Source organism: Homo sapiens, chromosome 18 (genome assembly GCF_000001405.40).
Source record: "Homo sapiens chromosome 18, GRCh38.p14 Primary Assembly".
Taxonomy (NCBI): Eukaryota; Metazoa; Chordata; class Mammalia; order Primates; family Hominidae; genus Homo; species Homo sapiens.
The window spans coordinates 27,132,105-27,147,801 of NC_000018.10; the positions used below are offsets into that span (position 1 = coordinate 27,132,105).

The 15,697-nt window shown below is 38.5% G+C and overlaps 1 protein-coding gene across 4 annotated transcripts in view; it reads right to left on the reverse strand.

Annotated features, from left to right (window-relative positions):
- Positions 1–15,697, reverse strand: part of CHST9 (carbohydrate sulfotransferase 9) — a 278,828-nt gene that overhangs the window by 225,624 nt on the left and 37,507 nt on the right. For 3 of the 4 annotated variants that reach the window (NM_001256316.2, NM_031422.6, XM_006722555.5), the window contains exon 2: positions 10,585–10,801. In NM_001256316.2, coding sequence (NP_001243245.1) covers positions 10,585–10,705 — 121 coding nt within the window. In that variant the 5' untranslated portion in view covers positions 10,706–10,801. Of the gene's footprint in view, positions 1–10,584; positions 10,937–15,697 lie in introns of those variants that run through there. The other variant, NM_001398493.1, reaches the window with a different exon arrangement.

Below are 15,697 nucleotides of genomic sequence, written 5' to 3' on the forward strand. Positions count from 1 at the left end.
ACTTATATTGGCTTGGAATAACCCTCTTTAAAATATTTCACAGAGATTAGTTTTTTCAATTAACATCTCCTTTAGACACAAAATGATAGTCACATAAAATTTAACATTGTAAGAGACTTTAAAAGGTTATCTTCTATAATTCCTCATTCAGGTTTTGACTTTTCTTCACAACATGTCAGCTAAATGATGATCCACTGTTTTATTCAAACAAAATACTGTATTGCAAAAGGAAAAATAAACTGCAGATAACACATTTCTGACCTCAACGAAGACATTTCAGGATATCCCTGGAGAAAATCTGCACCCCACCCCAAACCAAGCAATTTAACTTCTGAAAAATCGAGTTAAACACCAGCTTCACTTGTCTTCCTTAGCTTAGGTGCTTAGTTTTGGGGTGAATTCACTCATACAGCAAAGACTTACTGAGCATCTACTATGTGCCAGGCACCATGCTCAGTCGTAGGGCACAGGAGTGAACAAGGCAATACCTTGGGGTTTGTGGTGTAAAATGAATTAAAAACAGTGAAGAAGGATTGCTCTGCGCCATCCTCTGCTTTACCCTCTACTCTAAGAGGTAAATAGAGAAAATGGGGTCCATTATGAGGCCCCTCTGAAATTCAGTAAGCCTTCTCTGAGACAGATGAGTGCTCACCGTGGGTAGGAAAGAAGATTAAGAAAGAGTAGGAATAGTGTTAGGTCTGGGAGTAAATGGATCAAGGGACCCCAACATTTGCTGGGGCTCCCTTTATATAACTCTGCTCCTTTCTTCCTGTCTGCTTTTCTTCTTTCTCTTGCTCTAAGCCTAGAATCTTCAGCTGCTCTGGTCCACCTGGTAGAAAACAGCTGAACAAGCTTCTGACCTTTGCATCAGACAGTCCAGGTACTCAGCCTATATTCCAAGTCTCAAAAGCCAGAATGCCCAGAAAGGGAATCACTGGCCAGGCTTGGATTAGCCTCCCATCCCCTGGACGATAAATTTACTGTGCTCATCATGTGTGGTACACTAGGAATAACAGGTCTAGCATTGGCCAGGTACCTGCCAACAGAACTAATGAAGGGTTACATTGTAATATGGCAGTTCCTGGTACCACTTCGTAGATAGCAAGTGCATCATTGTTTATATGTGCTCAAAACATGTTGGGAGAACAAACACATTCAATATATTACTAGATGTTAAACATCTATGTTGATGGGATCGACTTTGTTGCAAAGCTTGGCTGCTGCATGTTATTCAGGTTCAGAAGACTTTAAGCAATTTGACATCCATGACTCCTTCACTTCTGGGGTATCGGGCAAAAGCAGGGGACAGCACGTAAGAATACAAGAGACTCAAAAAGCTAGGGCAGAGAGTTAAGACAGAGCCCACAGAGTTGAGTTGTAATTGGCTGAGTGAATAGGGTTGCTGGGGTACATGGCAAGGTGAGGACTGAAATGTGCATCTGGAAGCAGGGGCAGCTGTGGGACACTGGTGACCAAAATACAAGTTTCCTGCCCTCAGGAAGCCTCCATTTTACTGGGAGATGCAGAGCATATGTAAGCAAACAAAAGGAATTATTACAAATTGAGATCAGTGCCATGAAGTAAATTTTAAAAAACAATGAAACAGCTGCAGAGAGAGAAAACTTCCACTTTACATAGGATGTTTGGGGAAGGTGATATTGAAGCTGTACCCTGAAGGATTCAGAAAAGTCAGCCATGGAAATGGCCAAGGAAACGTGCTCCAGGAAGAGGGAACAGCCGTGACATGGGAATAATCACATAATGGGAAGACGAGGTGTGGCGCTGTCCAGAAGTGGGCAGCAGGAGCATGTGCTCATTTGATTAAAAAAATTGTTTGCCACACTTACAGATATAGGAGAAAGTAATTCAAATCAGTGACTTTTTAAAGAAAAGCAATTTTATTTCCCTGAGTATATGATTGACAGTAAACATAAAGTCCTTCTATGTAAAAAATGGCTTTGTTCTAGTTCAGGTATACAGAGATAACCTGAAAGAAAATACAATTTCAAAACAGCAACATCGCAATCAGGATGAACGGCCTGGTTTTTGAAGGAAAAGAACAGACTCTCTCATCAGAGAGGCTCAGGGGAAAAGAATTATATCAGTCCAGTCTAGAAACAAAACTTTATATGCCAAAAATATGCTTCAATGTAGAGAGAGAAAGTGTACTTAGTTTGAAAAAAAAGCAAGATGAAGTCTCCTTAGAAACACCAGATGCACAGACCAGAATCAATTATCTGAGAAAAAGCAATAAGGTGGCTTTACTTTGCCTGAAATCAGAAGCTTGCAGCTACTACTTTTCATTTTCATACAAAGTGGGAGGGTTGAAATACAACCAGGACTACTGATGTTTATGTGCTTAAACAAAACAAAACAAAACAAAAACTAGTACAAGTCACCATCTATTCTGGCCAACTTGCCACTGCTAGTAGCATGTAGGATTTGAATAGAACCTCGACCTACCAAAAGGTCATATCACTGACCAAAAAAAGAGTATTTTCAGGCAAAATAAGTTCAGGACCAGGGTCCTACAGAGCATGGATTGGTGACAATGAGTTTTTAAAAGGTGGGGTTATATTTATATAATTCTCTTATAGGCACATTGCTATGTGCCTTAGCATTGCTAAGCCTTAGCAATGATAATTCATAGCTAAATTATTGACCTTAGATGTTAATGCTGAATCCTAAATTCAGACATTGTACTTATTTGACATAAATCAGAAAAAAACTGGTAAAAGTCAGGAAAAAAAATCTAACTAGAAGTATACAAGAAAAATGTAAAAAGTTTCTGAGTTCTGGGGAGATAGTCAGAAAACAAAAAATTTCAGTTAGACAGAGACAATTACATCAAGACATCTATGGTACACTATGCTGGCTATAGTTAATAACAATATATTATACTGTATATTTTCAAATTGCTAAGAGAGGAGATTTTAAGTGTTTTTTACCACAAAAAAATTAGTATGTGAGAGTATGCATATGTTAAGTGGCTTGATTTGACTGTTCTGCAAGGTGTACATGTATTAAGACATCATGTTGTGTACCATAAGTGTATACAATTTTTCCTTGTCAATTAAAAAAATTTAAAAATAACACAAAACAAGGGACAAAAAAGTGCTTTAAAAGGAAGGGAAGCAGTAGTGAACCGTTTCATATTGGGAACAAATACTTGTTTGGGAAGAGTATATTTTTCTGTCTGATTCCTTGGCTGGGTCAGCTGATCCATACTGCAGTAATATTTTCTGGGTTTAGAAATAATTTCACTTTGTTGGTCTCACTTTATTGTTCAACTTTTTATAACTTGAAGCCTGTCTTGGTGAAAATGGAGACCTCAGACATAATGTTATTTACAGTCTTTCTCCTCTTCTGTCAGCTTAATAAGAGTATTACAGTGACCACTCTTTCTTCTTCTAGTGCATGCCTTGTAGATGAGTGAGAGGTAAGAGGAAGTGCCAATAAATCAGCCAAAGTCAGTACCTCTGGGTCAGTGGTTCATAACCTTGACTGAATATTAAAATCACCTGGGGAGATTTTAAAAATCCCCGTATCGGGGCCGCACTCCCAGCCTGGCAAATTAGCATCTCTGGGGAGGAGGCCAGGAACCAAAATCAACATGTCAGGGTGTGGACCAAGGCACGTGTTCCTTAAAACGTCTGGTCTTTCTCAAGCAGCTGGTGAGAACCACTGATCTAACTGCTTTTCTCACTTCACCATGTGCAGCAACCACCTGAGAGTTTTATTAAAATGCAGATTCCCATGCAGCAGACCTGTGTGGGTGCTGAGGGTCTGCAATTCTAACAAGTCTCACGTGACGCTGTTGCTTCTGCTGCTTTCCACATTTTGGGTACAGAGACTCTGGATCAGGGGTTCTCAAAATATAATCCCTGGATCTGCAGCATCAGGGTCCACAGAAATCTTGTTGGAAATGCAAATTCTTGGGCCTCATCCCAGATCTAGTAAATCAGTAACTCTGGGGGTGGAACCCAACAGTCTGTTTTAACCAAACCTTAAGGGGATGCTGATGTACATTGAAGTTTGAGAACAACTATTGGATTGGATAATATTTTTGAGTTTACTTGAGTGTTAGGCTTTTGAGGGGCAAGAAAGGGAGATACCATAGTTTATCCAGAGCAATGGAGAAGGCTTACTTGTGGAAATGAGATCAGGCTTCACAGGAACCCAGGAAAGGTTGCACAACCAGGAAACACGTGATGACCTACTGTGGCACAGCGAGGCATCCCAGGAATGTGGTGTGGTCTGGAAGCACGGAGTGTCATTCTGCACCTGGAGTGACTGCCCAGGCTGCCCACTGCCTGGCCAGTGCACTGTGTCTTTCTCTAGTGCCTTCTCTTAGCATGACTCTACAATGCTCACCATCTCTGCACACTGCAGGGTGGCTTAGTTGGAGTCCTAGAATGAGGCGGCTTGAATCAGACTTCTGGTTTCTTATTTGCTTAGCCTCAGTTTTCTTGTCTTGAAAAATGGGAATACTAATGGTACCTATCTCAGACTTGTTGTGGGATTAAATGAGATAGTGGGTGTGATGTGTTTAGAGCATTGCCTGGGACCCAATAACTGCTAAACTATAACGCTTCCATTCTTGTCTACAAAAAGCTTTTTTAATACAGTTTTTAAAGAAGTTTCTGAGTTTTAAGTAAACATGTAAAATTGTTATAAATAAATAGCTAAAAAAGTATTGGTCCTAGATAGAAATGCTTAGAAGTTATTTGGACAGATTGTTGTAATGTAGGCTACATTGAGGAAATGGTTTCAGTTTGGAATGGCTCAAACTAAACTTGACTCTGGAAAATCTCAGGAAAATATATAATGTAAACTATTAGATGCAATCTGTATTGATTTTTACTGCTTTGTATGTTTTAAAATATGTGCATATAACTCTTCATTACTTGATAGAAAATGTTGTTACATATGAGTATTTCTAACACAAGTTATGAGCTCTCTGTCCATACAGAGTTCATAAAATAGGAAAGGATACAGACAATTAATAAGTCAACAAATAATTAAGGAGTCAATTGCTGATTGTGATAATTTTTCTGAAGAAAATGAATAAGAAGGAGAGATTGATTTATACATATAATGAATATATAATTTATTATTTATTAATTATATTGACTCATAATTGATTATATTGATTTATATGCATAATTATATAATCTGTATATATTGATTTATTTATATATGTGTGTGTGTGTGTGTGTGTGTGTGTGTGTGTGTGTGTGTGTGTGTGTGTATAGAGAGAGAGAGAGAGAAAGAGGCACTGATTGACTGTGGGGGTGATCAAAGAAGGTGACATATGAGCCAAGCCCTGACAGGTGAGAGGACAGAAGGGATCCCAGGCTCCTGAAACTGAGCACATCCAGTCAGCAAAGGGCTTGGTTTAGCAGAGGAAGAGAGGCAGCTCCAGAAGCATGGTGAGTGAATGGAGAATGAGGCTGAGGAGGCAGGCAGTGGCTACAGCTCACACAGCTGTGGGCTCTGGGGAGAAGGTTTTGTTAAAGGAAATGAAATATGATTGAAAAATTTTAAACATGGGAGTGATATAATCCAATTTGTATTTTTAAAAAACGGGTGGATTCAAGAGGATCTTTGAATTCTTATCTAAAGCTGAGATGGTGACTCTGTCGTTAGAGGGTCTCAAAGCTGTCTTACGGCACATACGAAACAGTTATACACCATGACTTTTGGTATGAGTTCCATATAGCAGTAAGATTCTAACTAGACAAATAGTGCCACTTATAAACTTAAACAGTAGCTGGGGGAAAAAATAAACAACAAGCCATTCTTGTGATTTATCCTAACCAGCCCTCATCACTGCTGCATCATACGCATAGCTCCCTGCTCTCCTCTGGTCCTCTGGGTCCTCTGCACGCTTTCACCTGCCCAGCCTCCACTCCCCTCCTTCTAGCACTTCTATCTGGTCAGCAATTCTATCCCTGACAACTGACTGTGCTGCTTCTCCTGCCTGCAACTCATTAGTTTGTCCCATAATGGAGGGCCTGTCTCTTTTCTGTCACAAAGGACTCCTCCTTTTGTCCCAATGGCTTGGCCTGGACTCAGGACCATTTTCTCCCTTACAATTCATTTGACTGCACTCTCCTTGAGAAAAAGGATTATATCTGGCTCACTATTACATGCCTGTATTCACCATGGTGCTCAGCACATCCAATTGTTAAGTCTTCAAGAAATACTGCTGGATGAGTGATTCCTCTGCCCATGGAGGCAGCTTGTATGGACACGAGATACCCCTGGACAATGACCTCTCTCTATGCACTCAATCCTATCCTTCTCCTGCCAGCTTCTACATTAGGAACCAGAATGGCTCTGTGCCAATTAGCTTCTCCCAACTAATTTAACCAAAGTTGGATCTAAGCCTTCATTTTTTTTTTAAACCTTACTCAGTCAAGGCACAAGCTTGGGCACAATTGAATTTTCCTGAATTGTGGCTGAGTTTTAATTGTGGCAACTCAGAAAAAGCAAGTTTTCAGATGTTCTGCGTCATTTCCAGGATAATAATAACAGCTCACGTTCATTGTGCATTACTGTTTGCCAGGCACCATGCTGAGTGCTTTGCAAGCATTGTCTCCTTTAATCTTCACTGCAACCCTCTGTGAAAAATATGACTATCCTCATTTTACAGATAAGGAAACTGAGGCTTAGAGAGGCAAAGAAATTTGCCCAGGGTTACAAAGCTAACAAACAGGAGATCTGAGATTTTTCAAGATCCTTCTGAATGAAAAACTTGTACCTGTAACAACTACGAAAAAAAAAACTAAAATAAAATTTGTGATAACATATCAACATACTGCAAATTAGCACTAGGAAATGGATAAATTAATGGATAGTGATATTGAAAAAGTAGATGGTATTATGGAACTCTATTGCATAATTGGATAGATTTTAATTTCTCTGTCATACAGCTTCTCTTTACTTCCAAAAAAATCTGTTTTCATAATCCTTTACCAGTATATCAGAGCATATTTCAGATTTTTTGGATTCTAAAGTATTTTATTTTAATACGAAAAACCCAAGAAAACCAGGGAGGCTTAGAAAATAGTCCATATCTTAGATTTGAAAAGCCTCAAATAAAAGACACGAAGAAAACCTAAGAATTCTCATATATAACTGAAATATATGTGTGATCAAAGCCATTTAGATTTTAAAACCAGCATTACTTATAGAAAGTCTCAGGAACCAAACCAGCTCATCTTTCAAAGTTTCTTTGAGTGACAGTTCTAAAGTGTCCAAAAGACAGATTTTCCATTTTTTTAAACTTAACATCAAAGCACATATTCATATATTTATTTATTTAAAAAGAGATTGCCTTTAAAAATGCCTAATGCTCCTGATGTTATTTGAAACACACACACACACACACATATATATATATATAAAAAATAAATGTCTGCCTACCTAGAAAACTGCAGAATTTCAACTCACAGCACTAACCTAGTATAAGGCAGAACTTCAGATGGAAGTCTTCTTAAAGAATATTACAGTTTTTCGTCAGAGAAATAGTTATCTACAGGACTCTTGACTTTTACATTTATGCTTTTTGTCATGAGTAGTTTATGAAATATTACATAATTCATTTAAAATATATCAAGAATCAGGGAAAGCACTTCTATCAAAATTACAAATAAAATTTAAGAGAATAAATGGTAAGTGTTTTACCAGTCTTAACCAAGGAAAATAATTTTCCAACACTTGGGAAAATTATGAACTCAAGTTAAGATTTAATCTTGTAGAAGAAGTTACACATCTGTATGTCATTTAATTTACCAATTTCAGTGATTTTAAAACATCTGTACTGATACTACTGCATTTATAATTATATGCCTACATAATCCAGTGTTTTGGTTAGGAGACTCTTTCAGGGATTCCGACAATTAGGAAAACCTAGGTATGGGTTACACTTCAAAAACCTGTAGCTTTATAGCTACAGGTTAAGTCATTTAAACTTTCTGAGTCTCCCTTGCTTCATCTGTGCTATAGAGAAATAATAATATTCACCTTTTTCCTTCATGGAAGTGATACATTGAGCAGAGGCGTGGACCTCGTAGCAGTACAACCTGGGTTCAAATCCAGGCTTTCCCCTCTGCAACAAGGCCATGCAAAGCCTTGGATACGCCCCTTATCCCTCTGGAGTCTCATTTTCCTCATCTGTAAATTTAGAATAATACTCACCTAGTAAGATATGAGGATTACAGAAAATTTATGTAAACATTTGGCACTTATTAAGCTCTCCATAAATGGTAGCTATTAATGCTTATGGACACATTTGGTAAACTACATTTTATATGTATGGTATTATTAACCTGTTTCCTTAGATATATAATTTCTTAGTGACAGACTAAACACATTTCTGCAAAAAAGTAGTCTATACATATGAATATATTTTCCCTTAAGTATTAAAATCTTGCTGTGATAGTCTTTTTGTGAAATTTGTTATGAGACCATGATATGAGCAAAACTCAAAATAATGAGATCTTTTTCTTTCTTCTTCCTTTGCTGTATTTCAGTCTATAGTCTTCAGTGAATTTTCAATCCATTCATTCATTCATTCATTCATTCAACAAAAACTTACTGAAGGCTTACTATGTTACAGGATCTATGCTAAGGGTTATATTTCAGGAGGAATTAGCCTATATATTTTACTACAGGTGGTTTCATTAAATATGATGTTATTATGATAAATTATTTCAGTAGTATAGAAAAGTTAGCATAATAGTTTATGTAAACTGTAAAGGGAATTAAGAATATATTTTGACAATATGTTACATATTCTTTAGAAAATCATTATATGCAACCTCTTTTCACAAAGTTACTATATAAATTAAATACATCAAAAGTGTTGTCCAGGGGCAGTGGCTTACGCCTATAATCCCAATCCCAGAATTTTGGGAGGCCAAGGCAGGTGGATCACTTGAGCTCAGGAGTTCAAGACGAGCCTGGGCGGGGCACGGTGGCTCACGCCTGTAATCCTAGCACTTTGGGAGGCCTAGGCGAGTGGATCACGAGGTCAGGAGATCGAGACCATCCTGGCTAATATGGTGAAACCCCGTCTCTACTAAAAATTCAAAAAAAAAGAAATTAGCCGGGCGTGGTGGCGGGCGCCTGTAGTCCCAGCTACTTGGGAGGCTGAGGCAGGAGAATGGCGTGAACCCAGCAGGCGGAGCTTGCAGTGAGCTGAGATCGCGCCACTGCACTCCAGCCTAGGCGACTGAGCAAGACTCTGTCTCAAAAACAAACAAACAACAACAAAATAGACCAGCCTGGTCAACATGGTGAAACCCCGTCTCTACAAAAAATACAAAAATTAGCCGGGTGCAGTGGTTTGTGCCTGTAGACCCAGCTACTTGGGAGGCTGAGGCAGAAGAATCACTTGAACCTGGGAGGCAGAGGTTGCAGTGAGCCAAGATCATGCTATCGCTCTCCAGCCTGGGCGACAGGAGTAAAATCCCGACTCAAAAAAAAAAAAAAAAAAAAAAAAAGTAGGAGGATAAACCAAAGAAAGGAATTTAAAAATGGAAACAATTTTAAAAATAATCATAGTTGTAACTCAGTATTAAATTGTCTTTTGGAGAAGATTCTTAAGGGTTTTATATCTAGAATAACTTAAAAAAAAAAAAAAAAAAGAAAATGGGCCACAACTGGAGACAATCAAAAAATCATTCTTCTGCTTTTACTTTATTATCCTTAACAGTCATAAGCCATAGTCTATTTCTACCAATGGAAACCATCAGAACTTCACAAGATCTGTATGTATACATTTCTATGATATTCTAAGTTTTTTACTTTAATAATACTATATCATTATAAATATAATCATTTTTAACAGTAAGTGAGTGCCTCCAATGGGCAGCAATTGCAAATTGAAAGACAAAAGTACAAGATGAGCACAGCAGGGATCAGTAAACTATTGCCTGTGGACCAAATCTGGCCCACCAGCTGTTTTTGTAAATAAAGTTTTATTGGAACACAGCCTGTTCCATTTGTTTACATGTAATCTATGGCTGCTTCTTGATATATTAGCAGAATTGAGTAGTTGTGGTAGAGATGGTATGGCCTGCAAAGAGTAAAACATTTATGATCTAGTCCTTTATAGAAAAGATTTGCCAACCCCTCCTTTATAATAAAGGTATTAAATGATATTTATACCAATTTTGAGTATCAATATAAATTAAGACAGAATTAAAGGAGAGGCTGCTGTACATTCAGGGCCTTTTAGGCTTATGCCTGATGCTCCATGGACAGATAAGAAGTAGGATAAATGCTATACTTTTGGAGACAAATTCTCTACAAGCAGTTCTTGCTGGACTGTGGGAGCACTGCTATTCCCCCACTGAGATAACAAAAATTTCCATTGTTAAGCCACCAAACAAATGCCTACCAGAGTTGTATAATTTTCCTTCCTTTTAGGAGCTGGGAATTTTATCTTATGACTCATTTTTTGTTGTTGAAAATATTGTGATTCTCAATATATTAATAAGCATCACAACTAATTTAATTTAAAAATAGCTATTATTGTTACAATTAAAATAGAAGAAAAAGCACATGTGTTACCTGTATGTTGTTCTTCAATCCAGACTTGCAAATACATGAAGAGGAGTAGCCCAGCTACTCCAAATATCAGCACAGAGAGGAAGACTTGTTTGGGGTTCATGACCATTTCAGATGGCTGCATTTCTCCTTATTTCAGAATCTGAAGACCACATGATTTGTTTTCCCGTAAAACTTCAGTCTTTTCTTGTTCTCTAAGAGCCCAATTCCATAAAGTAACCTAGAATTTTAAAAAGAAATCTACATTGTACATTTCTGCTAATATTAATTCTCAAATACGGCATAAATATTCACTATCTCAACAAGGCTGAAGACTTAATGTGCACACTAATGCTCTGAAGACAGAAAAGACTGTAGTAGGTGTTCCTAGAATGGCAATTTTCTATTGCATACTTTTATCTTATCTAAGGAATGTATTATCCTACAGTTAATAAGTAACATCCTAACATTTAGTTAGGCAAAGTCTGGCCAGACTTAAGTCCTCCTGTATTGTAAAGTGTAAAGTAAGGTTTGGGATACCTTAAAATAATTGCAAGTAGGAAGAATAACAGAATGGGTTGTTAAAGGACGGGTTTTGAAAAACATGCTTGTAGAATGTAAGGAAAAATCACCTCCTGTCTTAAGAATATATAAAGTTCAAAAATTGAAGGTGTAATATCATTTTTCTCTCATATAAAGTAACAGATTTCTCCAATTTAAAGAGCACATTTAAAATCCTTCAGAGGCATAAAAAGATAAATAATAAAAGGTCAGGGTTCAAGGACCCCTCCCACAATAACATGAAATTACTGAAATCTACCTCAGATTACAGAAATCTACCTCAGTAATAAAGAGCTATTTTATTTTTTTAAAAATACTGAACAGATTTTCTTTTAGAACAATCTCGTTTAATATAACCTTAACCTTTTATTTTTTTTAAAAAAATTGCATCCTTTTTTGAGAATCTGATGAAAATGTGAGCCCTCTCTTTAGAAAAGATTTACAAAATCTTACATAAAATGCCAAAGTGTTCATGTACCTTCACTGAAACCCACATTAAGAATCCCTGTTCCCCAGTGAGAACACGTGGATGCAGGGAGGGGAACATCACACACCAGGGCCTCTTGGGGGATGGGGGGCAAGGGGAGGGAGAGCATTAGGACAAATACCTAATGTATGCGGAGCTTAAATCCTAGATGACGGGTTGATAGGTGCAGCAAACCACCATGGCACATGTATACCTATGTAACAAACCTGCACGTTCTGCACGTGTATCCCAGAACTTAAAGTAAAATAAAATAAAAATAAAAATAGAAAAAACAAACAAACAAAAAGAATCCCTGTTCCCAATGAACTGCCACACAAGTATGCAGTAAGCCGTGTGGTGAGCTCACCTAGTTAGCAGCCCGGCTAATGGGGCCAAGGTCACGGCTTTGTATCTAACGCTGGCCAGAAACCCTGGCTCAGTTCCTTGGCCACAGAACACAACCCCTCTGGGTGAGCCGAATAAATGTTTCTTAAATGTGAAGATATCATGCACATTGCTGCATCAAAAAGTTATCTCTTCTATTCCATTGCCTCAAAATATTTGAGGAGAGTCTTTGATGGAAAATATTGATTTTGCCTAAGAGGTGTTTTATGGGGTGCCAGTTAAAAGTTAAAAACTGCTGTGGGAAATTGCTTGTCTGGTTAAAGGATAATATTTAGGTATTCTTGGCAAAACCAATTTTCAGGGCTGGCGAGGTGGCTCATGCCTGTAATCCTAACACTTTGGAAGGCTGAGGCTGGAGGACTGCTTGACCTCAAGAGTTCAAGACCAACCTGAGCAGCATGGTGAAACCCTGTCTCTACAAAAAATAAAATAGATTTTAAAATTAGCCCAGCGTGGTGCCATGGGCCTCTAGTCCCAGATACTGGAAAGCCTGAGGTAGGAGGATCACTTGAGCCCAGAATGGTGGAGGCTGCAGTGAGCCATGATCAGGCCACTGCGCTTCAGCCTAGGCAACAGAGCGAGACTCTGTCTCAAATAAATAGATAAATAAATAAATAAAAAACAAAAACAAAAAAACTGTAGCTGATATCCATGATACCACATTTAACTTTGTGGTGATAGAATTCCTCATCTCTTAAAGGAGCTCAAAAAATGACCTCAGAAATCAGAACAAGAGATGACTCAATGGGAGCCCTCCTGTCAACCCTGCGTTTCTACAGTCCTTAAGGCTGGCTGGCATTTCCCTTGAGCCTGAAAGGTTGTGGCTGCAGTGAGCTGTGACTGTGCCAATGTACTCCACCCTGGGCAACACAGCAAGATCGTGTCTCAAAAAAAAATACAAAATAAAAAACCAGTTCTCAAACAAATGAGCTTCAAAGATAATGTAAGAATTCAGAATTAGAAGTGAATGTATTAAGTAATTAGAATGATTTCTTGATTAGAAAAAAAAACCCACCAAATAGTTAAAAGTTCTTATGCAAAATGAGAAAAATATCATGTCATGAATACTTCTTTTCCGTTTGTTTGTTTGTTTGTTTTGTTTATTATTTTTTTGTGGTGGAGTTTCACTCTGTCGCCCAGGCTGGAGTGCAGTGCCGCAATCTTGGCTCGCCGCAACCTCCACCTCCTAGGTTCAAGCGATTTTCCTGCCTCAGCCTCCCAAGTAGCTAGAATTAGCTGAGCCACACCCGACTAATTTTTGTATTTTAGTAGAGATGGAGTTTCACCATGTTGGCCAGGCTGGTCTTGAACTCCTGACCTCAGGCGATCCTCCCGCCTCAGCCTCCCAAAGTGCTGGGATTACAGGCGTGAGCCACTGCCCCTGGCCTGAATAGTTATTCTTCTTTATATTTTAACTCTGACCTGGAAGGGGCCAGGGTAAGAGCTGTTTGTCAGCGCTACCTAAGATGCTTTCTCAAATCCAGTTCTCTGAGTTCTCTGAGGAAGGGGCAACTGTTTAACATTTCACTAGTGCTTTTGAGGATTTCAGACATTTCCTTGATTCAGGTAGTAAAGAAAGTTTTTAAATAAGTAGAAGAGCCGAGAGTATTATCATACTGCTTATTTGATGGGTGATACTTTGCTCTTATATTGAATCTAAACTAAAATATTATGGGCTTCCAAACATATGTAACAAAGAACAGTTCCCGAGGGAGACTTGCAATTTGAGGTGTTCCAAATTGAATCCCTCAAGGGAAGCTATGAAATGAAGCCAGCTTTCTCTTCTCTTGATGCTGCCATTAAACAATGAACAGACATAATTCCTGGGTACATAAGAAGATTCAGAAAGGAGGAAACCAGTTAAACAAAATCTAGTACTAACAAAGAAATAGTTGTTTACAAGAAGAAAGAGACTTTTACAATCTGTCTACATAATTAAAACTTATCTCAGAAGAGAAAAGGCTAGAAGAAAACTCATAAATCCAAGCAGAGCCACGAACCTGTGGGAACGGTGGGAGTAAGAGCCAAAAGGAGTACTCCTCGGGGGTTTGCAGAGGAAAATTATTACCTACGATGCTGGAAAAAGATTAAGAATTTGCCCTTCCTTTCTTCAGGAGATGTTACTATCCTCTGACATATCCTCCTGGGTGAGAAAGCAGTAGAAAACCCATAATTGTTATTATGGCAGATGTGAGTAGGATTGAGTGATTAAAGCCACAAGGCAGAAAGGCAATCTGGTGTAAAATGGAGAGATATGTTTGATTTTCTCCCATCTCAGTCCATTAACCCAACGTTGGCGTTAGGAAATGGCTCTCATTAAACAAAGGTGAGGTGGTAGGAGCAGCAGGATTGCTTTAAGCAAACCTGAAGGTCAGCTGTGATGGGAAAACACACCTATTTGGAGATCATATATCTATCTCCAAGCCTGCGGAAAAAGTGCAGACTACTGGAGATTTAAATTACTTGGAATAATGCTGCTTTATGTACGAGCATTATACATTTCTACAGCCAAAGGCTTCCTGTATTTTGTACAACTCCTTCTTCTCCCTTCCCATAAACAGAATATCTTGAGCCTAAAAGGTACTTAAAAACTTGTTGCATTGAACTGAATTTGGAGCTCCAATAACAAAATACAGGTAATTGATACTTTTTATAGTTGTATTTGTAAATCCTTAGTCCTAACCTCCAAATGAAGAAACATGGAGAAATACTAAAAGATAGGGTCGATGTTTCTTTGTTAAAAATATTTTCATTTGCATATCTTTTTATTTATCTCTAACAATTATGAAAAGAAATATAATTATTTCATTCTGTCATCTCTTTTCCAAAAGTTTAAAAATTATTTTTTTAAATAATTGTGGCTACAAACGGAAGTATTTTGGGACTTAAGTATAGCAATAAATTACTTGCTGAAGACAATTCACATAAATTAAATTATGAGTTTCCCAGTTTAGCAGACATTTATTTTTTTATTTTTATTTTTTTGAGATGGAGTTTCACTCTTGTTGCCCAGGCTGGAGTGCAATGGTACGATCTCAGCTCACCACAACCTTCACCTCCTGGGTTCAAGGGATTCTCCTGCCTCAGGCTCCCCATTAGCTGTGATTACAGGCATGCACCACCACACCCGGCTGATTTTTTTGTATTTTTAGTAGATACGGGGTTTCTCCGTGTTTGTCAGGCTAGTCTCCAACTCCCGACCTCAGGTGATCCGCCTGCCTCGGCCTCCCAAAGTGCTGGGATTACAGGTGTGAGCCACCGCACCCAGCAGACATTTATGATTTTAAGGAAGGAGTGGTGGGGTTTTGGGGAATGTCGGTTTGGACCAAATGATGCAGGCAGTTTAGCAGAAAAGAAACCAGGAGTCGGGGGCTTGCTGTTCCCAGATGAGTGTTGGTAGCCCACTCTTTCTCCCCTCCGGTAGCAGCTACACCATCCTCTATCTCCTTCCCACTCTCTGAGTAAACCGAGACCAGCAGGGATGAACTCCCTCCGTTTACTACTAACCCTTACATGTTTACCTTCATTGGTCCACACCCACACATCTTTGCCTCTGTCTCTGAAAAACAGGAGTCCTCACTTTTGCCTCTATCTTTTCCAGGTTCTGGTGAAACGCAACTCCATCAACACCTCCCCAGTCCGATCTTATCCTCTACGTCTTTTCTCAGTGACACCTTCCTCTGTAAACCCCTACAGTGATCACCT